This window comes from Homo sapiens, chromosome 1, assembly GCF_000001405.40.
Source record: "Homo sapiens chromosome 1, GRCh38.p14 Primary Assembly".
NCBI lineage: Eukaryota > Metazoa > Chordata > Mammalia > Primates > Hominidae > Homo > Homo sapiens.
This window is the reverse complement of record NC_000001.11, coordinates 75,351,106-75,378,253: the sequence shown is the minus strand read 5'-3', so window position 1 is coordinate 75,378,253 and position 27,148 is coordinate 75,351,106. Positions and strand designations below refer to the sequence as shown.

The following is a 27,148-nucleotide window of genomic DNA, read 5'->3' as shown; positions in this document are numbered from 1 at the left end:
AATAAAGCTGAGATAAGAGGCATATTTACTTTTAATTTTACTTTTAGTTTGCCCTATTATCACCCTAGCTTCTTCCGAGCGCACAAGCTTACTGTAAGGCTGACTGTAGACGTACTTGGGATCTCTCGTCGACTTGTCCTCAATGACCACGCTCGAGCGTACCTTCACCCTAGAGAAAAGCCTCCACGTTGGGCACCAGATGTAGGGGTGGGTTGCCCCTACACACCTGTGGGTGTTTCTCGTAAGGTGGGACGAGAGATTTGGAAAAGAAAAAGACACAGAGACAAAGTATAGAGAAAGAAATAAGGGGAACCGGGGAACCAGCGTTCAGCATATGGAGGATCCCGCCAGCCTCTGAGTTCCCTTAGTATTTATTCATCATTTGTGGGTGTTTCTCGAAGAGGGGGATGTGTCAGGGTCACAAGACAATTGTGGGGAGAGGGTCAGCAGACAAACACGTGAACAAAGGTCTTTGCATCATAGACAATGTAAAGGATTAAGTGCTGTGCTTTTAGATATGCATACACATAAACATCTCAATGCTTTACAAAGCAGTATTGCTGCCCGCAGGTCCCACCTCCAGCCCTAAGGCAGTTTTTCCCTATCTCAGTAGATGGAGCATACAATCGGGTTTTATACCGAGACATTCCATTGCCCAGGGACAGGCAGGAGACAGATGCCTTCCTCTTGTCTCAACTGCAAGAGGCATTCCTTCCTCTTTTACTAATCCTCCTCAGCACAGACCCTTTACGGGTGTCGGGCTGGGGGATGGTCAGGTCTTTCCCTTCCCACGAGGCCATATTTCAGACTATCACATGGGGAGAAACCTTGGACAATACCTGGCTTTCCTAGGCAGAGGTCCCTGCGGCCTTCCGCAGTTTTTGTGTCCCTGGGTACTTGAGATTAGGGAGTGGTGATGACTCTTAAGGAGCATGCTGCCTTCAAGCATCTGTTTAACAAAGCACATCTTGCACCGCCCTTAATCCATTTAACTCTGAGTTGACACAGCACACGTTTCAGAGAGCACGGGGTTGGGGGTAAGGTTATAGATTAACAGAATCTCAAGGCAGAAGAATTTTTCTTAGTACATAACAAAATGGAGTCTCCTATGTCTACTTCTTTCTACACAGACACAGTAACAATCTGATCTCTCTTGCTTTTCCCCACATTCCATTGCTGATACCCTTTCTTCCAGTTGATAGCATCGACTCCTGAGGCTTCTTCATTCTTCACGTAGTTCTCGAGCCTTGGTTTTCAGCTCCATCAGCTCCTTTAAGCACTTCTCTGTATTGGTTATTCTAGTTTTACATTCTTCTAAATTTTTTTCAAAGTTTTCAACTTCTTTGCCTTTGGTTTGAATGTCCTCCCGTAGCTCAGAGTAATTTGATCGTCTGAAGCCTTCTGCTCTCAGCTTGTCAAAGTCATTCTCCATCCAGCTTTGTTCCATTGCTGGTGAGGAACTGCGTTCCTTTGGAGGAGAGGCGCTCTGCTTTTTAGAGTTTCCAGTTTTTCTGCTCTGTTTTTTCCCCATCTTTGTGGTTTTATCTACTTTTGGTCTTTGATGATGGTGATGTACAGATGGGTTTTTGGTGTGGATGTCCTTTCTGTTTGTTAGTTTTCCTTCTAACAGACAGGACCCTCAGCTGCAGGTCTGTTGGAGTACCCTGCCGTGTGAGGTGTCAGTGTGCCCCTGCTGGGGGGTGCCTCCCAGTTAGGCTGCTCGGGGTTTAGGGACCCTCTTGAGGAGGCAGTCTGCCCGTTCTCAGATCTCCAGCTGCGTGCTGGGAGAACCACTGCTCTCTTCAAAGCTGTCAGACAGGGACATTTAAGTCTGCAGAGGTTACTGCTGTCTTTTTGTTTGTCTGTGCCCTGCCCCCAGGGGTGGAGCCTACAGAGGCAGGCAGGCCTCCTTGAGCTGTGGTGGGCTCCACCCAGTTGGAGCTTCCTGGCTGCTTTGTTTACCTAGGCAAGCCTGGGCAATGGCGGGCGCCCCTCCCCCAGCCTCGCTGCCGCCTTGCAGTTTGATCTCAGACTGCTGTGCTAGCAATCAGCGAGACTCCATGGGCGTAGGACCCTCTGAGCCAGGTGTGGGATATAATCTCGTCGTGCGCCGTTTTTTAAGCCGGTCGGAAAAGCGCAGTATTTGGGTGGGAGTGACCCAATTTTCCAGGTGCGTCCGTCACCCCTTTCTTTGACTTGGAAAGGGAACTCCCTGACCCCTTGCACTTCCCAAGTGAGGCAATGCCTCGCCCTGCTTCGGCTCGCACACGGTGCACACACCCACTGACCTGCGCCCACTGCCTGGCACTCCCAAGTGAGATGAACCCGGTACCTCAGATGGAAATGCAGAAATCACCCATCTTCTGTGTCACTCACGCTGGGAGCTGTAGACAGGAGCTGTTCCTATTCGGCCATCTTGGCTCCTCCACGATTCAGTGGTAATGAATTTTCTTAGTGATTGCTTGTTCGGGAAAAATTGTCTTTCTCCTTCTGTTATGAAAATTAGTTTGGTGAGATACAAAATACTTGGTTGGTATTTCTTTACTTCAAGAATGCTAAAAATAGGCCTCCAGGTCTATTCTGGCTTGTAAGGTTTCTGCTGAGAAGTCCACTGTTCACCTGATGGGGTTCCCTTTGTGAACAGTGATAGAAAAGTGATATGACCCTTTTCTACAGTTGCCTTTAAGATTTCTTTTCTTGTTGACTTTGAAAATTCTGATGATTATGTGTCTTGAGGAAGGTCACCTTGTATAATGTCTCACAAAGATTCTCTGAATTTCTTGAACTTACATGTCAACTTCTTTCGCAAAATTGGGGAAATTGTTGTGGATTGTATCCTCAGATATGTTTTCCAAGTTGCTTACTCTCTCTTCTCTCTCAGACATGCCAGTGAGTCACACGTATAGTCTCTAGAGGGTTTGTCTATTTTTAAATTATTCTTTTTTATTTGTTTTTGTCTGACTGAGTTGATTTGGAAGACTGATCTTCAAGCTCTGAAATTCTTTCCTCAGCTTGGTCTAATCTGTTATTAAGACTTTCAGCTGTATTTTGAAATTTCTATAGTGAAATTTTCAATTCCAGAAGTTGAGTTTGGTTCTTACTTAAAATGGCTCTGTTGTCTTTCGATACTTGGATCATTTTTTGAGTTTTCTTGGATTGGGTTTTAATTTTCTCTTGAATCTCGTTGAGCTTTCTTGGCCATCCATATTCTGAATTCTATGTCAGTTGTTTCAGACATTTCAATCTGGTTAGGATCCATTGCTGGAGAGATAGTGCAATCCTTTAGAGGTAAGGAAACACTCTGACTTTTTAAATTGCTAGAGTTCTTGCACTGATTGCTTCTCATATGAGGGGGCCAGTATTTCTTTTTGAAATTGCCGTCATTTGGATGGGACTTTTTGTTTTTATAATAATTTTTGTGTTTGACTGTGGTGTATGTTGTGTATAGTACTGGCTTCATTTCTATGTGCTTTTAGAGGGCCAAGGCTGTGTAGAGTTCCTCAGTTGTGGATCCTTTCCTGCATGGGTCTCCAGGCATTGAGCGCTGAAGGGATGTATTTTTGCTTCCCGGTGTGATTCAGGTTGCAATCCAGTAGATAGTGCTTAAGAGTCAGGGCTGGCAGATAGGCTCTTAGCCACATGCCTCTTGTGTGTTTCAGTGCATGTGCAGCGGTGCCCTGGGGAGGGGAATGGGGGGCAAAAGATGACTTCCTCACCAAGTTTGTCTACAGGCCTTAGTGGAGTACCCTGCAGTTACTGGCATCACGCCTGCATTTCCTTAGCATCAAGTGGGGCTTTGGTGGGCTACCTTCTCCACACCTTCTTAGGTGTGGTCTGTGCCAAGTGTTAGGTCACCAGGAGACCCACAATTCCCTGGAGACCTACTGGTCCTCTAAGCCTGGCAGAGTCCAAGGAGGTTGTGAGGTATGTCTGCAGGTAGTCTGGTGATTCAGTGGGTCAAGAGTGGAGGATCCTGAGGGAGAGTGGTGGTACCACAGGTATTCAGCTTGTGTGTTGACTGTGGCCAGGGATTTTAGCCCAGAGGATGATTGTGGGACCTGCTCAGCTTGCACCCCTTCTACTGGGTCTCCCTCTGATGCCTGCGTAAGAACAGGCCCAACCAGCTAGACTTGTCCCAAGCCTTCTGCATTCAGGTCACTTGCTGTTCCAAAATGTTCTAGGCTGCAGGGCTCCTTGGGGCAGAAGCTGCAGCTAACAGGCTACACCCTTTCTGGACTGGTCTGGTGGAGGGAGGGATGACCAGCTCCCATGCCACCACATGAGCACAGGCCACACTCCCTCAGTGTTCTGAGAGTGGGGGCTCCTCCCCAACCTGAGCTCAGGCCACAGATCTCAGCTTGATGCCCCTGGGTAGTGTGCTTGAATCCTGGGGGGTAGGGACTCGGCCAGTAGTTTTGTCCTCTGAACCCTCAGGGTTGAGTGCCAGCTGTGCTGGGGGAGTTTAACTCCTCCCAGACAGCTGGCAAAACACTCAGGTGGGGCAGTAGAGGCTGTGCTGTGGGCAACCTCCTGCAGGAGTAGCCAGGCAGGTTGTCTTAGGAGGGACTGGTGGACAAGGCAGCGTGTGGATCAGATGTGCCCTGCTCCTGCAGGAAAGGCAGCCTTGCTCTCTCCTGGCCGAACAGTCAGCAGGAGCTACAGTCACTCAGAGCAAGATAGAGAGCCTTCTGGGATAAATGCCTGAAGTCACGTTTAGTTGCTGCTGCACCACGTGCCACCTTGAAACCTTCAGGGTTCTATGCAGGTTCAATCTCTGCCTCTGTCTGGTCTCTAAGAAGTTCCTCCTGCCAATTCAAATGTCTGTGGGGGTAATGGGATCTCTTGTCTCTAGGATCCCAGAGGGTTGTATTTGGGGTGTGGTGCCTTGGAGTTCCTTTACTCACCCCTTCCTTAGGACCTGTTGAGGGCCAGGAGCTGGTCTTGGTGCTCGGTGACTCCATGCAGGCTTCCCAGTTTCCTCCCTCTTTAGCCACAATGTCTGTCACCTCCCTATCGATTTTTGGTGTTTTCTCTCAAAATATTTTTTCAAAGTATAATGGTTTACTCTACATTTTGGTTTCTGTTAGTGAGGGAGGCCTTTCCCAGCTGCATCTAGTCAGCCATCTTCTAGATCTTTTTCTTGATTCTGACACTTTGACCTAATTTAAATGTTGACCTGAGGATATTTTGACTCTGCTTCTAAATACCAATATTCAGATTTATACGATCATCAATGAATTCAGGTCAATAAGGAGTTCTTACATTTTTTGAAGTAAAATCTATGAGTTTGATTCCTTAATTTTTTGTATAGCAGTGTTAAACTATGGTTTTATTCTTTTTTATTCTACTAAACTTCATTGGACTGAATGTCAATTTAAAAACAAAGATTTGATTTAGTGATTATGTTTTATCTACATTGTTTGAACAACCAAAGCTATTTCATTAAATATTTCTGTGGTCATTATTTCTCCCTAATACAATTTTCCAATGTCAAATTTTAAAGGAAGATATAATTCTTTTATCAATTTTTGGTCAGTAAACATTACCATGAAAAGTTTAGCTAATGTCAATTCTATTTTCTGTTAATAACTTCTCTGAAGGTTTCATTTCTTCCAAGGTCAATTTTTGCAGTTTTCTGGTTTACTAACAATATGTGATTCTTTAACCCATTTTGACCATTGTTCAACTAACTTTTACAAAGAAAAAATTCACTTCACTATATGTACATGTCTTTAGAATTGCTAGTTTTATTTTGTCATGATGATTTCCTCCTAATCTTGTTTTGCTTGGGTAAAGTTGTATTTTATGTTGAATATCCTCAGTGTCAGAATGCCAGGATTAAAATATTCTCCTGTAATCTTAATTACTCTTTATTTTTTCCTCTCAATCTGCATGTAAGTGTTAGCCAGAGTTAGGCATCTGGGGAAAAGTAAGTGTAAATTTAAGGAAAAAGGGCAAATTTTTTATTTAGGTAAAACATTTTACATGCATTTGATCTCTGACTCACTGGGAAAAAGCTCTTTCCTTACCCTGAAGGTTTTTTTTTTTTTTTTTTTTGAGACAGAGTCTCACTCTGTCACCCAGTTTAGAGTGCTGTGGCATGATCTTGGCTCACTGCAGCTTCTGCCTCCCAGGTTCAAGCAATTCTCCTGTGTCAGCTTCCCAAGTAGCTGGAATTACAGGCATGTGCCAACATGCCCGGCTAATGTTTGTATTTTTAGTAGGGACGGGGTTTCACCAAATTGACCAGGCTGGTCTTGAACTCCTGCCCTTAAGTGATCTGCCCGCCTCGGCCTCCCAAAGTGCTGGGATTACGGGCTTGAGCCACTGCGCCCAGCTACCTTGGAGCTTTTATATACCTTGTCAATCCAACCTGGCTTTTTCTTTCTGGCAGGATGAACTACCTCTTAGCACAAAGTATTGCAATCAACTGTTCCTCACCTGTGTGAAAAACAGCCTTTAGAAGGTTGAACTAAATAAAAAAATATATAATCTCACACTTTTAAATAGGTGGGCCTTCATTTTAGCTTTTCGTAGGTTAGTCTAAAGTAATACAAATGAATATATCTTTTATTGATTAGCTGGAAATAATTTAGACTCTCTGTCTCTTTCAAATTATTAAAAACAGATAAAGTGGCTACTCTGGGATGGATCTGATTTTATTTCTCCACTGTTTTTCATTTTTTGATTTTTTAATTTTTCATTTTCTTAATTTTCTTGATAATCAGGAAAGGCTGAATATTATGCTCTGTAGAAAGCTACTTGGGTCTTTGGATATGTTGATGTGACTACAAAAATAACAATAAAAATAGTTTACAGCACTTACTGTGAGTTGGACACTATTCTTACTGCTTTACATATGCTAACTCAATGTATCTAAAACCCCTTTGAGGATGGTTCTATTTCTCCTATTTTATAGATGAGGAAACTGAGGCATAGAGAAGTTAAGTAACTTGTGCAGATAAACACAGTAACAATTGAACACAAACTGCATGAAGTTTTCTATTTTAAAAATACTTTATATCTTGTTTTTAATTAAAAATAAATTTTGATTCCCTGCCTTCGCAAATGGGGTGAATGTATAATTTCCCATTGACACATCCTTGCTGCACGTAAAGAGATGGAGAGATGGAGCATGAAGTTTGAAGTATGTGATAAAACTGGAGTCCAGCCCCTTTATTTGCTTTGTACCTACCAAACCCAACAGGAAAACTGAGGAGTTTTCTCTGTATGAGATGAGAGCATTGTCCCAATCCTTCTCCTCACTCCTCTTTCTTAATATGCCTCTTAGTTTAGATCTTCCCTGTAGCACATGTACGTTGTTTCATGCAACCAGTAAAACTGATCATATTATTAAAGAGTTTGTAGGGACAAACTGCAATAAGTAGAAATTTACTAAATGCTCAGTTTTACAACTACTTACAGCAGGAAATTACATTTTTCTCCTGTTGCTGATTTTCTCCATCTCTCTGACACCCCTGACTCTTCTCATTAGCCTACCATATACCCACTCTGATCCCGTATCAAAGTTACCCTCTTTGGTGATACTCAGTTTCCTGTTTGATTCTGCAGGACATCATACACTTGTGAGTTTTTGTGGAATGTTTTGAGTACAACCAGTATATAATATCTGCTAGGAATGCTCTGGTTTATGCTCCAGGAATTTTGTTACTTCCATCTTCTCTCTACAGCCTTTGAGATTGACTTTGTAGTTCACTGAGCGGTCCAAAATACTTATCCTATGTAAATTGCCTGGAAGAGGTCACCTCCAGGTATTTGTATACACACACTACTGGGCGTCTTTGCAATAAGAAACTGTGGTTGGAAATATTCTGATCACTATGCTACCCAAGGCTGAGTCTGTCTCAGTAGTTAAGGAGATGAAAGAAGTTATAAAGCAGTTTGAAGTGGAAAAAATTATTTTAACTGGAAAAATTTCAATAAACAAATTATTAAATTGATATTCTTCTTTCTAAAATAGTTATTTTTCTATGTAATAGGTATAAGTTTATGTTACAGCATATGGGAACAAAAAACCCAGAAATTATTTATTTCCTCCTAGAACCAAAGTCTAGAATATTAGCTTTAGATGCTTGACATTCTTTGCCAGGTTCCAGGCCTGGCTTAAAGCCAGAGGATGGAGGATGAGGAACATAATTTTCCTATTCATTGAATAAAGTTCTTAGTTCAGTCAGAACTACTCTTAGTGTAAAAGCCTAACCTATTCAAATAATTTTATTTTCAAACATAAATGAATGGTATCTTGATGGCGTAGAACCTTCTGAGAAAACTGGATTGCATACATGGTAATCCATGATTGGTGCTAGAGAAGATGAGCTGTAAGCAGTAAGTTTCAAGGCCAAGCAATGGGAAAACTTCCAGCTGGAAACCTGGTAATTGATTGAACTGTTTCATCTTTGTTTTTTATTCTTTTGGTGAAGTTTTACTTTTTCTTTCCTTATAAACTTAACTAACATCTTCAGTTATTAAAAAAGTTTTTATTTTTATATTGAAGAAATGAAAGAACCACATTTAATAGAAAATGTAAAAATAGATTTAATAAATTATGATTTTTTATTTTAAATAAACACTTAACTGTGTGCCAAAAGTATTGCTATGAAAATAAGAATCAACCTCTATTTGGAGACATTTACATTTTTCCCCAAATTAAATAATAATACTCTATCAAAATGAAATTTCTATCATGACATTTTTATGGAATGTATGTATCTCTCATGAATCACGGCTATCATCTCAATTTTGTCATTGCACTGAAAAGAACATGCATTCTTTCTTCTCCTCACCTCAGGAACTCGTAAAAGTACTAATCATCCTTAAAAATAAAAATGCAGTAGATAGCATTATTTTTAAATTTCTCTGATACTATATGGAGTAGATTATTTATTTTGTATGAAAGTATGTAAATAGTAAGAAGAAGCCAGGAGCAGTGGCTCACACCTGTAATCCCAGCACTTTGTGAGGCTGAGGAAGGAGGATAGCTTGAGGCCACAATTTCGAGACCACCCTGGGCAACAAAACAAAACCCTGTCTCTTCAAAAAATTAAAAAAAAAAATAGCCAAGTGTAGTGGTGTGCACCAGTAGTCATAGCTACTCAGGAGGCTGAGGCAGGAAGATTCCCTGAGCCCAGGAATTGGAGGCTGCAGTGAGTTATGGATTATGGCACTATATTTCAGCCTGAGTGACAGAGTGAGAACCTGTCTTTAAAAAAAAAAAAATGTGAGAAAGAGAGAACGAATCACTTTTTGCTTTCTTTGGATGTCTTCCACAAAACCAGAAAAATAAGAGAGATGTATACCTGCTAGGAAAATTTTTGTTGGACTTTAATGATGTTGATACATTTTAATATGTATTTAATTGGTTAGTACACTTAATGTTTTATACATAAACTTCCTTCTTGAATAGATCATGACAGAAGTGAAAACAGTAAACATGCAGAACATTCTCATAGTTGCGTATGCATCATGAAGGAGTTCCCCTTGACAATAATAGACATTTCTTAGGATATATTTCAGAACACCAAGATTTGATTTGGAGCATTCAGAATACCAATTTGAGTGTGGTGTGTGTGTGTGTGTGTGTGTGTGTGTGCATGCACATTTTAAAGAGACAGAGAGAGCAAAATCAATTTTATTGTTATGATCTGAAGGTACCTATTAAAGTAGACTTTATAAACATATCTTCTAGAAATATTGAGTTAATGCCACCTAAGTCAAAGCCAAAGTGTATTAGGTAAGTATTTACTTAACAAATACAGTCAACCTTTGGTGTTTACGGGTTCTGCACCTGCAGATTTAGCCAACTGTGGATCAAAAATACAGTATTTGTGGGATGCAGAACCCACAGATATAGAGGGCAGACTTTTTGTATTCATGCGTTTTGCAGAGTCAACTGCAGACTTAAGCGTCTGTGGATTTTGTTATAAGGGAAAGGTTCTAGAAACAATCCCCTGTGGACATCAAGGAACAACTGTAATTACTCAATTCTGTGATTATGATAAGAACTTTGTACTGATTGATCAGATCATCTTGTAAAATGTGATATTTATGAGTGTTTTTTTAATTGGTTGCTTTGTTAGATAACTCTGATTAAAGCAAATTTCTCAGTAATATTGATATTCTCTTCTAATACCTGGCCTAGTGATGTGAGGCCAGCCTCAATAAATATTGACAAAAAATCATTAGCTATTTGTTAAATGTTTAGAAACTGTTAAGTGCTCTTTTCCAAAAACAATCAATGTATTCCTTAACCATAGAGAATGTGGTATAAAAATGCAACACAGGGGTGACGTCAGCGATTTGGTGGCATGGGAGGTCTCCTTTCATATTCTCCCAACTCCAACAATAATTTCTCAGCCATTTATGGGAAAAAAATGCCTTTGTGGGAGCTATGGGATCCAAGTAAGTGATTGTAAGCTCTGGTAGACCCTAAGACTGATGACAGCTGTTTTGAGAAGGCAGGCCTGTGCCCAGGTGGCAGGCTCACTGATGGTGACCTTGGCTACAAACCTGGAAACAGCTCCATCCCCCTATGGACTCTGCTACAGCCCCATTTGGCCTTAGTCTTGCCACCAGCACCATCCACCAAGGGACGCACGAGGAACCACATCTGTCCCTGCTTCAGGTAACAGGCCTGCTGACACTGGTCCTGACTGTGGACTCTGAAGCAGTATGTGACCCAACTCCAGGTCCTCTGAGCCATGATCCAGGAGCAGTCCTGTCTGATGAATAATGCAACAGGAATGACCCAGCAGGAGCCACACCTGTCCACAAACCTGTTAATAGGCCCACCTTCTGCAGATCCAACTGTGGATCCTGAAGCATATGATCCTTGTCTCGATGACAACTTTACTGACCAAGGTATCAGAGACAGTCTCATCTGCTTAGGGACCCCATAGGAGATATGCCTACCTAAGCCCCCTGACAACAGACTTACCAATCACAGATCCCACTGTGGACCCAGCAAGAACTATGTGACCCAGCTTCAACCTCACTGAACTGAAATTCCAGAGGCAATCCCATTATCCTGGGGACCTAACAGGAGAAGGTATTTACTTGCTGAAAGTGGTTGTAAAGACTGAAAGAGGTCTTTATCTCTTCCAGTGCTCAGCTACCAATGCAAGGCTACCTGGATTACAAACAATTAAGCAAACATGACACTGCCTAAGGAAACTAGCAAAGCTCTAGTAACTGACATCAAAGAAATGATGATCTACAAATTATCTGACAAAGAATTCAAAATAATCATCTTAAAATGGCTCAATGGGATGTAAGATAACATAGATAGATAATTATTTAAAAATAACAAAAACAGAGCATTAACACAATGAGAAGTTTAATAAGAAACAGAAACTATAAAAATAACCAAACAGAAATCTAGGAGCTAAAAAATACAATGACAGAACTGAAAAATTTAATAGAGAGCATAAACAGCAGACTCAGTCATGCAGAAGAATCAGCAAACTCAAATATAGCTCATTTGAAATTACCTGGTTAGAGGAACAAAAAGAAAAAAGAATGAAAAAGAGTGAAAAAAGCATACAGCGCCTATGGTACATCATAAAACAAACAAATAAATTCATTATAAGAATTTCATAACAAGAAATGAGAGAAAAGGGAAGGAAGCTTGTTTAAATAAATAATGGCTGAAAACGTCCCAAATCTTGACAGCAATATGGGACTACAAATTCATAAAGCTTAAAGGTCCCCAAGAAAGGTCAACTAAAATAATTTCTGAATATTCTTGAATATTCTAATCAAATTGTCAAAAGTCAGACAAAAGGAGTACTGTGAAAGCAGCAAGAGAAAAATGACTCATCACACACAAGAGAACTTTAATGAGGCTGCCAATGGGTTTCTTAACAGAAATCTTGCAGGCTAGGAGAGTATGGGATTATATATTCAAAAGGCTGAAAAAAAGGCTCCAAAAATGCTACACCTAGAGAAGTTTTCCTTCAGAAAGGGAGAGATGAAGACATTCTCAAACAAACAAAAGCTGAGGGACTTCATCACCACTAGGTCTGCCTTACAAGAAACATTAAAAGGAGTTCTTCAAGTTAAAATGAAATGATATTAAGTAAAAATATGAAAACACATGAAAGTATAAAACTAACTGGTAAAGGCAAATTCAGAATATTCTAATACTTTAATGGTGGTGTGTAAATCACTTTTGACTCTAGTATAAAAGAAAAAAGACTAAGGTATTAGAAATAACTATAGCCATAATATTTGTGAAAGAATAGTTATATCTTTTATATTGTATATTCATTCACAGAAAATATAAAGTGTGATATCAATAGCATACAGGTGAGAGTAGTGAAGTAGAAGTATAGAGATTTATATGTAATTGAAGTTGCTATCAGCTTAAAATAGACTGTTATAACTATAAGATATACATTTAACCCCCCTGGTAACAACAGAGGAAAAAAACCTCTAGCAGATAAATAAAATAGAATGAGAACAGAACAAAGTATACTGCTAGAAAATATTAACAAACTACAAATAAAAAGAACAAGAACTCATTTTTTATGGCTGCATAGTATTCCATGGAGTATATGTACCATATTTTCTTTATCCAGTCTATCATTGATGGGCATTTAGGTTGATTCCATGTCTTTGTTATTGTGAATAGTGCTGCGATGAACATAAATATACGTGTGTCTTTATAATAGAATGATTTATATTCCTTTGGGTATATACCCAGTAATGGGATTTCTGGGTTGAGTGGCATTTCTGTCTCTAGATCCTTGAGGAAACATGGATGGAGCTGGAGGCCATCATCCTTAGCAAACTAATGCAGGAACAGAAAACCAAATACCATGTGTTCTTATTTATAAGTTGGAGCTAAATGATAAGAACACTTAGACACATAGAGGAGAACAATATACACTGGGGCCTACCAGAGGGCAGAGGGTTGGAGGAAGGAGAATATCAGGAAAAATAACTAATGGATACTAGGCTTAACACCTGGCCGATGAAATAATCTGTACAGCCAACCCCCTTGACACACATTTGCCTATGTAACAAACCTGCACATCCTGCACATGTACCCCTGAACTTAAAATACAAGTTAAAAAATAAAAATAAAAGAAATCCTGTGTTATTCAAATGTAAAAAAAATGATAGCAAGAGAAGAAGGAAACAAAGGACAACGGAACCACATAACCTTCATAAAACAATGAACAAAATGGCAACTTTTTGAAAGTCCTAACTTGTCAACTTTAAATGTAAATAGATTAAATTATCCAATCAAAAGCCACAATTCATGAACAAAATAAGTTTGACAAAAATAGAAATAATTATAAATAAGAAAAATCCTAGAAATAAAAATACAATAAGTGAACAAAAATATTTAGTAGAAAACTTCAGTAGCAGGCTTCCTAAATCATAATAAAGAATCAGTGAGCTCCATGACAGGATATTGGAAATTATCCAGTCAAAGGAACAAAAAGAGAAAAGAATAAAAAAGAATGAAGAAGGCCTGTGGGAGTTACGGGAAACCATCAAGAGAACTAAACTTTGCGTAGTAGGTGTTTAGAAGGAGAAGAGAGAGAAAAGGCCAACAAAGCATTTTTAAGGAACTATTGAGTGAAAATTTCTCAAATCTTGGGAAAACACCACCATCCAGGTATAGGAAGCTGATATGGTTGGGATCTGTGTTCCCACCAAAATCTCATGTTTTAATTATAATTTCCAATGTTGGAGGTGGGGCCTGGTGGGAGATGATTGGATCATGGGGCATATCTCGTGAATGGTTTAGCATCATCCCTCTTGTTACTGTCCTCATGATAGTGAGTGATTTCTCATGAGATCTTGTCATTTAAAAGTGTGTAGCAACAAGCCCTTACTCTCTCTTGCTCTTGCTCTGGCCATGTGATGTTCCTGTTGCACCTTCACCTTCCACCATGGTTTTAAGTTTCCTGAGGCCTCCCCAGAAGCTGAGCAGATGCCAGCAGCATGATTCCTGTACAGCCTGCAATAATGGTAAATTCTTTTCTTTATAAATTACCCAGTCTCAGGTATTTCTTTATAGCAATGCAAGAATGGTCTAATACAAAAGCTTAGATCTCTGCAATCAAATACAAACCAAAGAGAAACTCACCAAGACACATCATAATAAAATCTTCAAAAATCAATGACAGTAATTCTGAAAGCAGCAAAATACAAAAGATATGCCACATACAAGTAAGTCCCAATACATCTGTCAGCAGATTTCTTAGCAAAAGCGCTGCAGACAAGGAGAAGTAGGATGAATATTCAAAGTACTGGGGGGAAATAACTGCCAAGTAAGGATGCTTTATCTGGTAAAGCTGTCCTTCAGGAATGAGGAACACAAAACCTTTCCCAGGCAAACAAAAACTAAGAAAATTAATCACCACTAAGCCTTCTTAATAGGAATTTCTAGGGAAAGTTCTTTAAGCTAATATGAAAGACTGCTAATTAACAACATAAAACACATGAAAGTACAAAAGTCAATCAAATAAGTAATACATAATTATATTCCAAATATTCTGATATTGTAAGGGTGATGTGGAAAGCAATTTTATCTCTAATATGAGAGGTAAAACACAAAACTATTAACAACAACTACAGGTACAATAAATTGTTGAGAAATACAAATCACAAAAAGGTGTACATTTTGAAGTCAATATCATAAAATATAAGGAGGTGAGTATAAATATAGAATTTTTGTATGCAATTAGAATTAAGATGTCAGATTAAAACAGCCTAAATATAAAATATTTTATATAAGTTTCATGGTAACCACAAATTAAAAACCTAAAGTAGTTTCACAAAACAGAAAGAAAAGATTCAAAGCATACCACCACAGAAAACCACCAAACCACAAAAAAGACAAGAAAGAAACAAAGAATCTACAAAACAACCAAAAATAACTTTAAAATGGCAATAATACATCCTTACCTATTAATAATTCCTTGAATGTAAATAGATTAAATTATCCAATCAAAAGACAGAATGACTGGTTGGGTTAAAAAAATAAGACCCAACTCTATACTGCCTACAAGAGACTTACTTTACTAGTAAAGAGATACATAGAGTGAAAAGTGAAAAGATAGAAAAAGATATCCATGCAAATGGAAACCAAATGAGAGCAGGGGTAGCTATGTTTATATCAGGCAAAATAGACTTAAAGTTACAAACTTTAAAAAGAGACAAAGATATGATTAAAAGGCCAATTTATCGAGAGGATATGCAAATTGTAAATATATATGCACCCAACCTAAATATATAAAGCAATTAAATGAACTGAGGGAAATATAGACTGCAATACAATAATATTATGGGACTTCAATATGCCACTTTCAACAATGGACAAATCATCTAGATAGAACATCAAAAAGAAAACACTGGACTTGTACTTATACTCGCGTGGACTTATACTCACCCCCCTTACACTTTAGATCAAATGGACCTAACATGTCTAAAGAACATGCAGTCCAACAGGATTAGGATACATACTCTTCTCAAGGGCATATTAAACATTCTCCAAGATAGGTCATATTTTAGGTCACAAAACAGGTCTTACATTTAAGAGGAGTGAAATCATAAGTATCTTTTCTGTTCACAGTGGTACAAAACTAGAAATCATAAAAGAATGAATTTCAGAAAATATAAAATATGTGGAAATTAAACAACATGCTCATGAATAACCAATGGGTAATTGATTATCAATAGTCAAGAAGAAATAAAAAAGGAAGTCAAGAAATGCCTTGATACAAACGAAAATGAAAACAATGTATAGAAACTTATGGGATGCCCCAGAAACAGTTCTAAAAGGGAAATTCATAGCAATAAATGCCTATATCCAAAAAGAAGAGAGTTCAAATAAACAATCTAACATCTGACTTCACAAAAGTAGGAAAAGAAGAACAAAATAAGCCTCAAGTTAGTAGAAGGAAGAAAATAATGAAGATCACAGCATAAATAAATGCGAGACTAGAAAAACAATAGAAAAAAAATCAATGAAACGAACATTTTTTTAAAAAAACAAGTCAACAAAACCTTAGCTAGATTAAAAAAGAGAGAAGCCTCAAATAAATAAAATCAAACATGAAAAGAGAACATTATAACTGATAACCACAGAAACACAAAGGATCATAAGAAACTGCTATGAATAATTATATGTCAACAAATTGGATAACCTAAAAGAAATAAATTCCTAGACACATACAATCTACCAAGACTGAATCAAGAATAAATAAAAAATCTGAATAGATCGATAATAAGTAAGGAGATTTAATCAGTAACAAAATGTCTTCCTCTAAGATCAGGGATAAAATAAGAAAAACTAATACTGATTCTTCACAAACTGTTTCAAAAAATTGAAGTGAATGGAATACCTCCAAACTCATTTTACAAGGCCAGCATTAACCTGATAAAAAGCCAGACAAGGACACCTCAGAAAAAGAAAATTACAGGCCATTATCTCTGATAAACATAAATGCAAAAATTCTCAACAAAATACTAGCAAATTGAATTCAACAATACATCAAAACAATTATGCATCATGATCAAGTGGGATTTATCTTTGGGATACAAGGATGATTCAACATATGCAAATAAAAAATTGTGATACCCTACATTAGCAGAATGAAGCACAAAAACTAAATGATTATCTCAATAGATGCACAAAAGCGTTTGACAAAATTTAACACCCTATTATGATAAAAACTCTCAACAGATTAGGTATAGAGGAAATGTGCCTCAACACAATAAAGGCTGTATATCATAAGCCCACAGCTAACATACTGTGAAAGTTTCAATAGTGAAACTAACATACTGTGAAGTTTTCAACAGTGAAAACTTGAAAGCTTTTCCTCTAAGATCAGGGATAAAATAAGAATGCTCACTCTTATGACTTCTTTTCAACATAACTCTAGAAGTCCTAGACCAAGCAATTAAGCAACAGAAAGAAATAAAAGGCATCCTAATAGGAAAAGAAGACGTGAAATTGTCTGCTTGCTAATGACATGATCTTATATACATAAGATAGGAATCTGTAAAGATTCCACCAAAAAACTGTTAAACTGGTAAATGAATTCAGAAAAGTTGTAGGATACAAACTCAACACGAAAAATCATTAGCACCTCTATACACAAATAACAAACTATTTCAAAAGGAAATGAAGAAAAAAATCTCATTTATACTAGCAACAAAAAATAAGATACTTAGGTGTAAATTTAATCATGTAGGGGAAATATTTGTATACCAAAAACTGTAAACACTGATGCCAAAAATTAAAGAAAACACAAATAAATGGAAAGATATCTTGTGTTCATGGAATGGAAGAATTAATATTGTTAAAATGTTCATACTATGCAAAGTGCTCTACACATTCAGTGCAATCCCTATCAAAATTTCAATGGCATTTTTCACAAATAGAGATAAACAATTGTTAAATTTTATGGAACCACATAAACCCTGAAGAGCCAAAACAGTCTTGAGCAAAAGGAACAAAGCCAAAGACATTGCACCCCCTGATTTCATAATATATTATAAAGTAGTTGTAATCAAAATAGCATGACACTGGCATTAAAAACAGACACGTTTAACAATGGCACGGGACAGAGAACCTACAAATAAAACTCACACATTTACATTCAAGTGATTTTCAACAAAGGTGCTAAGAACACTCAATGGGAAAAAAAGATAGTTTCTTTGATAAGTAGTGTTGGGAAAACTGGATATCCAAATGTAGAAGAATTAAATTGAATTATTATCTCACATCATATACAAAAAACAACTGGCCAGGTGCAGTGGCTCACACCTCTAATCCCAGCACTTTGAGAGGCCAAGGTGGGAGGATCACTTGAAGCCAGGAGTTCAAAACCAGCCTGGACAACAAAGTGAGACCCCCGTCTATGAAATAAAATAAATATTCAGCTTAAAATGGACAAAAGAATTAAATATATACCTGAAACTATAAAACTACTAGAACAAAACAGAAGAAAATTTCCATGACACTTGTCTGGTCATGGATTTTTTTGATATGAACCCAAAAATATAGCCAACAAAAGCAAAAATGGACAAATGAGATTGCATCAAATAAAAAGCTTTTGAACAGTAAAGGAAGTAATTAACAAAGTGAAAAGGCAGACAATTTGCGAGTGGGAAAACTTATTTTCAAACCATACATCTGATAAGAAATTTATGTCCAAAATACATAAGAGGCTCAAACAACTCAGTAGCAAGGAAACAAGTAACTCAATTAAAACATAGGGAAAGGACCTGAACAGACATTTCTCAAAAAAAGATATATAAATGACTGACAGGATGTGAATAAATGCTCAATATTACTAATCACTAGGGAAATGCAAAATTAAAATCACAGTGAGGTATCACTTTATACCTGTTGGCTATTATTGAAAATATGAAAGATAACAAGTGTTGGTGAGGATGTAGAGAAAAGCAAACCCTGTGCACCGTTGGTGAGAATGTAAATTGGTGCAGTCATTATGGGAAAATGGTATGGAAGTTCCCCAAAAAACCAAAAATAGAATTACCACATGATCCAGCAATCCTATTTCTGAGTATATATCCAAAGGAATTGAAATCAATATGTTATAGAGTTATCAACAGTCCCATATTTCACTGCAGTAGTATTCATAACAGCCATGATAAGGAATCAGCCTAAGTGTCCATCAACAGATTAATGGATAAAGAAAATGTGGTATAGCTGGGCATGGTGGCTCAGGCCTGTAATCCCAGCACTTTGGGAGACCAAGGTGGGTGGATTGCTTGAGCCCAGGAGTTCCAGATCAGCCTGGGCAATATGGTGAAACTCTGTCTCTTAAAAAAAAAAAAAATACAAAAATTAGCCAGCGTGGTGGCATGCCCCTGTAGTTCCAGCTACTTGGGAGACTGAGGAGGAAGGATGGCTTGAGATCAGGAGGTGGAGGCTGCAGTGAACTGACATCACGCCACCGTACTCCAGCCTGAGTGACAGAGTGAGACCCTGTCTCAAGAAAAAAAAAAAAAAAAAAAGAAAAGAAAATGGCATATATACATAATAGCATACTATTCCACCTTAAAAAAAAAAAGAAAAGAAAATTCTGTCATTTGCAAAAACATGGAGCCGCCTGGAGGGCATTATAAGTGAAATATGCCTAGGCACAAAAAGACAAATACTGCAAGATCTCACTTACATGGGCAATCTCAAAATGTCAAACTCATAAAAGAGAGAGTAGAATGGTAGTTACCAGAGGTTGCAGGGGGAGGGGAGGGAAGGGAGGGAATGGGAAATTGTTGGTCAGTGGTTATAAAGTTTCACTTAGGAAGAATAGGATTTTGAGATCTATAGCACAGCAGGGTGACTAAGTCAATAATACATTGTATATCTCAAAATAGGTTAAATTTCAAATGTCTTACCACAAAGTATGATAACAAGCATAAGGGATATGTTTATCAGCTTGATTGAATCATTCTACATTGTATACATGTATTGAACCATCACATCATATCCCATTCACGAATGTACACCATTATGATTTGTTGGTTAAAAATAATGTTAATAAAAAATTATTCAATTACAAAAAATAAATTTTGGGGGTATAAAGTACTGCATGGTGACTACAGTTAATAATACTATACTATATATTTGAAATTTGCTAAAGGAATATACCTTAAGTGTTCTCACCACACACACAAAATGGTAACTATGTGAGATGCTAGATTTAATTAGTATGATTGTAGTAGTTATTTCACAATGTATATCAAATCATCACATTATATACCTTAAATATATGTAATTTTTATTTTCCAGTTATACATTGATAAAGCTAGAAAAAAGTTTTAAAAAATAATGCAATGCAAAACTTTGACTAACATACCAAATTGAGTCTTAAATATATAAAGTATAGCACTAGCACAACAATAGCTAAAGGTTAAATATACCAAATATGGCATGCACACTTATCAAACATCTTTAATTCATAACAGTTTTCCCCTGTGCCCCATGTATTCACTGTATGTTGATTTACATTATTTCAAGTATTTTTTCCTGAGGTATCTACTGGAAAAACCTGACTGTTCAAACTTACCAATTTTCTGTTCTGTTCTTCTCTTTATATTTTTATTTAGTACTTAAACAATGAATCAGATACGGTTTCTGGCAGGAAATAAAGTAGCTAATGTAGTAAAAATCTTTCCTAAGCAATAGTATGCAGGACTATGTTGTGTGTATTGTATGTGTGTGTGTGTGTGTGTGTGTGTAAGTGACATTGAAGAAGCACAGAACTAGAAACAGACTAGTGCAAAAACCATGTTAAATTTTAAAGGCAAGTTGTTTTCTAACATTTCTAAAGTTCTGGAACGGGTTTTCTGGAAGTGATGTGTGACATATAACTCTTTGACGCATGCTTATCTTTTTGTAATGAGATTTGAGAGCAAGGTTAAAGTTAAATTAGTAAGAAAGAAAACTAGCTGATTTGAGTAAGTGTTTAATTTAAACTATGACCATAATTATCCATTTCTCTCCTCATGGTTCACTATTTCCTTGACACACAGGATTTTCTATCCCAAGTTTTCCTTCCTCCACCCACTGGGCCCATTTTCTTAACCCTCTTTCAAAGTCCAGCTTGCAGACCACCTCCTTACATGAGGCTTTTCTTGGTTTCACAGCTAAATATGAGCTGTCTTTCCCTCACATTTTCCAGGGCCTTTGTGTTTCCTCTTTAAGCACTCTTTGACTTCTTGTGTTACAGTCTTTGTACATTTGTGTATTTCTGCTTCACAAGAGGAGTTGTTTCTTATCCATCTTTGTGTCTCTGATAGGGCCTTACAGAGAAAGCACTCAGTGAAATTTCAATTCTACTCAGTGCTCAGAGAAACCTTTTCAGAGGTTGAAATGAACTTAGATGGAAGTTTTTGGTCAGGACACGTTCACATTTTAAGGGCTCTCTATCAATGAATAGTATCACAGGCTGCCTGAGCCTCCAAGTTCAAGAGCTTTTAGTGACGATATACAGGAAGTGCTCTTGGTTCTTTTAGAGGTTGGAAAGACACCAGCAACTAAGGCCAAGAAAAGGCATAACGTTAATTCTTTTCTTTCTCTAAATTCCTGCAAGTAAGATAACTGAAGATGGATTGGATGGCATGGATGTGGGAATTAAAATTGATTTCAGTTCTTAGGAGAAGAGTTGAGAAAAAAGATAGGAAATGCAACGATGTGCCACTTAAGGATGGGAATATGTTCTGAGAAATGCATTGTTAGGCAATTTTGTTGTTGTGCAAACATCATAGCATGTACGTAGACAAATCTAGATGGTATAGCCTACTACACACCTAGGCCATATGGTATAATCTACTGCTCATAGGCTACAAATCTGTACAGCATGTTATTGTACTGAATACTGTAGGCAATTGTAACACAATGGCAAGTATTTCTGTACCTAAACATATCTAAATATAGAAAAGGTACAGTAAAACTGCAGTATAAAAGATTTAAAATGGCACACCTGTAAATACGGCACTTACAATTAATTTTCAAGACTTCCTGGAAGTTGCTTTGAGTGAGTCAGTGAGTGAATGGTAAGTGAGGTGAAGGCCTAGGACATTACTGTATATTAGGATACTACTGTATATTACTGTGTATTTAGTTTACACTAAATTTATTAAAAATGTATAATATATAATAAATTAACCTTAACTTTCTGTAACTTTTTTACTTTAAAATTTAAATCATTTAAGCTTTTTGAGTCTTGTAATAATAGGTTAAAACATAAATAGCTGTACAAAAAAATTTTCTTTCTTTATATCCTTATTCTATGAACTTTTTCCTATTTTTATATTTTTTAATTTTTAAACTTTTTGTTAAAAACAGAGACACAAACATACATGTTAGCCTAGGCCTACACAGGGTCAGGATTACCAATATCACTGTCTTCCACCTCCACATCTTATCCCACTGGGAGGTCTTCAGAAGCAATAACATGCACGGAGCTGTCATCTCCTATGCTAACAAGGCCTTCTTCTAGAATATCTCTTTTTTTTTTTTTTTTTTTTTTTGAGGCAGTCTTGCTTTGTCACCAGGCTGGAGTGCAGTAGCACTATCTCAGCTCACTGCAACCTGTGCCTCCTGAGTTCAAGCAATTCTCATGCCTCAGCCTCCTGAGTAGCTGGGGTTACAGGTGCCCGCCACCATGTCCAGCTAATTTCTGTATTTTTTTGTAGAGATGGGGTTTCACCATGTTGATGAGGCTGGTCTGAAACTCCTGACCTCAGATGATCTGCCCACCTCCGCTTCCCAAAGTGCTGGGATTACAGACATGAGCCACTGACTTCAAGAGGCCCAGAATACCTCTTGAAGGACCTGCCTGAGACTGTTTTACAATTTACTGGGTTTTTTTAAAAAATAAATACAGTATAGTAAATACATAAACAAGTAACATAGTCATTTATTATCATCAAGTATCGTGGCTGTAAATAATTGTATGTGTGATACTTTTATACAACTGACAGCATAGTATTGTTTACACCAACATCACAATCATGAGTAATGCTTTGTGCTATGAAGTTACAATGGCTATTAAGTCACTAGGTAATAGGAAATTTTCAGCTCCATTATTTTCTTGGAGGACTACCTTCATGTATGTGATTCATCATTGACTGAAGCATCATTATGTGATGCATAACTCTAATTTTTATTGAGGACCTCTTTGTCAGACATTTCACATGTCACTTAATATGTAACAGTAATAATCACAGTACTTTCTCACATTAATGGAAATATCGTAAATAATTTCACATCATGATCTCATTTGACTTTTCCAGTTGTGATATAGGTAGTGTATGGATTATATTCTTCCTTTAACAGAAACTGAGACATAAGAAAGCAAAATGATTTTTTCAAGGTTACATATTGAGTCAAAAACATAGTGTTAGAATATAAACTTTTTGTATCTTGATTAGCTCTTTCTACTATATCTTTTGTTCCTAGCACAAAATACAGTTTATAATTTTTATACAGTATTTTTTAAATTAGTTAAGAGCTCTTTATGTCTTCATGTGCATCAACCTTGGTTTTATTTCTTTGTAAAATTTTCTTTAATAAGAATGTGTATGGGAAATTTTTGTTGGTTAAACACAGAGAATTCCATACTTTAAAAGTTTTGACTAAATGTATATTACTAAATAAATAAGCACATCTTACCAACCTCTCATTTATGACGGTAACTGATAACACACAGTGGTGGGAAAGTGGACATCGAGAAACAGATATACATTATGACATAATGAAGTAATATTTCTCAATTTTAATGTTGACCTAAGTAGAAGAAGGTAGTGGACCCTCCTTGGATTGGTGTCAGAATCCCATGTGTCAGAATCCACTGTGGCACAGAAAAGAAGCCCGGAGCTCCTTTCTTCTTGAGAACATAGGGCTACCTAAAAGATCTGAGTCAAAAATAGATACCTCAGAAATTCTGGAAAATTCCTGGGAGAAAAAGAAGACCTAGGAGGTTTTACTTAAGAGCTCGAAAGTTGATTGGGCCACTGGATGATACTTTGATTTTTGTAAGCTTTTCTGTGTCGGAGTGATCAGACCCAACACCAGGTCGTGGGGGTGACGAAGTCCGGCGGAGTCAAAGGAATGAGAAAAAGACAGTTTGAGAGAGAAATTGGGACCAGGGGGCCATCGTGAGTGTGGAGGCTGCAAAGGCCCCAAGCTCTGGGAGCCCACGCTTTTTATTGGTGCTCAAACAAAGAAACAGGTAGTGAGGATGTGGGGGTTGAAAGGAAACAGTGTATCAAGTGAATGAGAAACATATGGCTGCTTGAGATAATGGGAGTGCTAGAAGCTGGGAGCCAGCAAGTCTATGGGATATGTAAGCCCTGCCTCAGCTTCTCTCCCAACACAGCTTTTCTCCCAATACTTCCAGATATTTTAATTCAAGTATTCCACCAATCAAGAAGTTTGGGGAATGATTGGAAATGAAATAACCTGAATTATCTGCAGAATGCCTAGAACACCCACCTGCACACAGCTTTAAAGGGTTCAGCCTCAGTCCTCTAAGAGACTTTCCTGTGGCACTAGGATGATCAAGGGAATTTATGGTTAGAGAAACAGACATCTATAGTGATTCCACACATATAACCTGTATATGTTCTTTAGAAATAGAAACTTTGTTCTAAAATCCCTCTGCTAACTTATATTTGGATTCTAAAACATTTCATTCATTTAAAAAATCAGTAGTGAGTGAAAGGTCATGTGTTAATTTGCAGGCCTTCAAGTGAATACAATGTGGAAGAAGAATCCTTGGAAAGTGTTGAGAATAGGTTCTACCTTACCCCATATTACTGTTTTTGAACCGAAAGCTGGAGGTGCCACCCCTCCTTAGCTGCCTTAGCAGGAGGGAATGACTACTGGCAGAAATATAACTGAAGCAACCAAGTGACTAGAAATTGCTTAGAAGTGTACATATTAATCCTGCCTTGTGACTTTGTCATCATTATCTCTCTGCAGAAAGTAAGTTGGAAATCCGGCTGGCTGTTTAGACTTTTAAAATGTGAAAGCAGAACACTTCTTAAGTCAGTTTTATGATGCATTCTAGCCAATGGTTGCATGAGCAGCATTATGAAAAGCCTAACTGGCATCAGCCTGTGTGGAGAGTGAATAAAAAGTAGCAGAACAAATAATTTTTTAAAAAGACAGCTCTAAGATAAATTTCATTATTTGTTCATAGCAAATATTTAATCAGCATCTACTATGATCCAGAACCACTGTTCTGAGTGGTGGGGCATACAGTAATGAACAAAACAGACAAAGTTCCTGCCCTCTTAAAGTTGACTCTCTTAAATTCGAGTAGGGATGGCTGACAATAAACAAAACCTGTGTGAGGACTAATAGATAGTCAAAAAATTATTATATCTTGAGTTAGAGAAGTGACTTGCTAAAGTTACACAGATTTCCAGCTGTAATCAAAATGATAGCAGATGCTCAGTTGGCTCACTGAATGGACTGTCTCAGTCTCTGAACTTGGATTACTTGAGTCTTTGAAGTAATATTGCTAACATGTTTTGGATTTCTTGTTTGGAAAAATGTAACCTTTCATTTTCTTCTGTTTTGTGAGTGAGTGTGTGGGTATGTCTTAGAAAGAGTGAGAGAGAACATACATATGGCCATATGAATCTAACAAACATAAGGATAAGAGCAAAAAGCACGTATCATCTGATTCCATCTATATAAAGCCAAAAATAGACAAATTATATTATTTAGGAATGTATAAGAAATAGTAAACTACAAGAAAAGCAAATAAATGATGATCATGAAATTCTAGACAGTGATTACTTTAGCAAAGAAGTAACTGTTTAGTATCCTATTGTACGACTATGTCATTATTTGTCTTCTCTACTTTTCAAAAACGTTAGATTGTTTTAAATTTTTGGCTATTACAAATGCTGCTGCCATGAACCGTATTATCCATGTATCTTAATGCACATACACGTAGTATGGGGTATATATTTAGGACTGAAATTGTTCTTTTATAGGGTCAGATCATGCCAAACTTTTTGAAAACACTTCTACCAATTTTTATTCTCACTAGCAGTGTATAAGACTCCATATCTTTGTCAAGACATCATATTATCAAGCTTTTCAATTTTTATGCATCTTTGGGGGGTATATAATAATTTCTCTGTGGTTTTAATGTATATCTTCCTAATTGCTAATGAGATTGAATATGATTTCATTATTTATTGACCATTTGGATTTTCTTCTCTGAAGTTCCTATCCAAGTCTCTTGCTCATGTTTTTATAAAGTTTTGTCTTTAAAAAAAAAACAAAAAACAGAAGTTCTCCAATGAGAACACATGGACACATCGGGGGGAACAACACACACTTGGGCCTGTTGGGGGACTGGCGGTGGGGGAGAATGTCAGGAGAAATAGCTAAGGGATGCTGGACTTAATACCCGGGTGATGGGTTGATCTGTGCAGCAAACCACCACGGCACACTTTGACCTATGTAACAAACCTACACATCCTGCACATATACCTTGAAACTTAAGATAAAAGTTGAAGAAAAAAAAGAGACAAAGAAGACAACATAAAGCACAGAAAGTATCTTAAAACACAGAATTTATCTTTGTTTTTTCCTTCCTTAGGTAGATAACTTATGGGGTATAAGAACCTTCTTAGTCTTTTATCAGTACTCCAAAGAAATCCTGTTTTTCAAAAATAGTAGAACAGATTCCAGTTTTGCTTCAAGGTTCTTTTGATTTAAAGTGCTTAAAAAAGGGGGATTTTTTACATATTCTAGATATTAGTAATTCAATGTTATCCCTCTCTTTATTGAGCCTTTCCATGACTAAAATTTCTTTTCTTTTTCTTTTCCTTTCTCTCTCTCTCTCTTTTTTTTTTTTTTTTTTTTTTTGGTAAAGTGTGTTATTCATTATGATGAGTGCTTTTGGGGGATGGTTTGGGGGGGTGGGGCGACAGTTAGAATCTCAAAGACTGGAATGGAAGACTCTTAAAGTGGCCAGGATTTCTAAACCACTCTCAGTACAACCACTCTAGTTCCATCCTCAAGAACATCTTTGTAGAGTCGGGTACATCAAAGCACATTATCTTGCCAAGTGTGGCAATGCTTTCCCTTACATTAGAACTCATTTACTGATACCAGTGTAATAGAAGGAAGAAAGCCTGATGCTTCCAATAACGTAAAAATACCTTATATCTGTCTCTCTACAAATAGACTCACTTTATAACTAGTTCTTTTTGTGCACTGCTTAATAAATCCTCTCTCTGAGGTCATAATGACTTTATAATTTTACCCTTTCACTTCAGGCTTTTCTATCTGAGATTGATTTTTGTGCCTGATATAAGGTAATGTCCAAGTTTATTATTTTTTTTCTTTATAGATATCCATCGTCCTACCACCATTTATTGAACAGAGTGTACACTTACTGATGATTTTTGTCTCTTTGATCAAAATATTGGATAAATTACTGAGAAAATGTGTTACAATCTTTACCATGATTATGTCTCTTTCTCCTTGTGGTTCTAAACATTCACATTTTGAATTTTGTTATGAAGTGCATGTAACTAAAATTGTTACATCTTCCTAGTTAACTGAACCTTTATTATTATGAAATGACCCTCTTTATTGCTATAG

The 27,148-nt window shown here is 37.3% G+C and overlaps 1 protein-coding gene across 13 annotated transcripts in view, besides 5 other annotated features; it reads left to right on the top strand.

Moving 5' to 3' along the window:
* The window catches only part of SLC44A5 (solute carrier family 44 member 5), a 521,887-nt gene that overhangs the window by 345,762 nt on the left and 148,977 nt on the right, over nucleotides 1-27,148 (top strand). For 2 of the 13 annotated variants that reach the window (XM_006710445.4, XM_047449167.1), the window contains exon 1: nucleotides 8,314-8,393. The exons of the other annotated variants lie outside the window; for them this stretch is intronic. The gene's annotated coding sequence lies outside the window, so the exon portion shown is untranslated. Of the gene's footprint in view, nucleotides 1-8,313; nucleotides 8,394-27,148 lie in introns of those variants that run through there. 13 annotated transcript variants of the gene reach the window in all.
* Nucleotides 399-1,180: an enhancer, noted in NCBI's record as "OCT4-NANOG-H3K27ac hESC enhancer chr1:75842759-75843540 (GRCh37/hg19 assembly coordinates)". NCBI's record gives its function as "activates a minimal SCP1, AML or CMV promoter by ChIP-STARR-seq in naive H9 embryonic stem cells {active_cell/tissue: H9 hESC(naive)}" and the evidence as "EXISTENCE:reporter gene assay evidence [ECO:0000049][PMID:30033119]".
* Nucleotides 1,181-1,962: an enhancer, noted in NCBI's record as "NANOG-H3K27ac-H3K4me1 hESC enhancer chr1:75841977-75842758 (GRCh37/hg19 assembly coordinates)". NCBI's record gives its function as "activates a minimal SCP1, AML or CMV promoter by ChIP-STARR-seq in naive H9 embryonic stem cells {active_cell/tissue: H9 hESC(naive)}" and the evidence as "EXISTENCE:reporter gene assay evidence [ECO:0000049][PMID:30033119]".
* Nucleotides 1,181-2,790: a biological region, named in NCBI's record as "CDK7 strongly-dependent group 2 enhancer GRCh37_chr1:75841149-75842348".
* Nucleotides 1,591-2,790: an enhancer, noted in NCBI's record as "CDK7 strongly-dependent group 2 enhancer chr1:75841149-75842348 (GRCh37/hg19 assembly coordinates)". NCBI's record gives its function as "activates an origin of replication core promoter dependent on BRD2, BRD4, P300/CBP, MED14 and CDK7 cofactors, with strong dependence on CDK7, by STARR-seq in HCT116 cells {active_cell/tissue: HCT116}" and the evidence as "EXISTENCE:reporter gene assay evidence [ECO:0000049][PMID:35650434]".
* Nucleotides 1,963-2,746: an enhancer, noted in NCBI's record as "NANOG-H3K27ac-H3K4me1 hESC enhancer chr1:75841193-75841976 (GRCh37/hg19 assembly coordinates)". NCBI's record gives its function as "activates a minimal SCP1, AML or CMV promoter by ChIP-STARR-seq in naive H9 embryonic stem cells {active_cell/tissue: H9 hESC(naive)}" and the evidence as "EXISTENCE:reporter gene assay evidence [ECO:0000049][PMID:30033119]".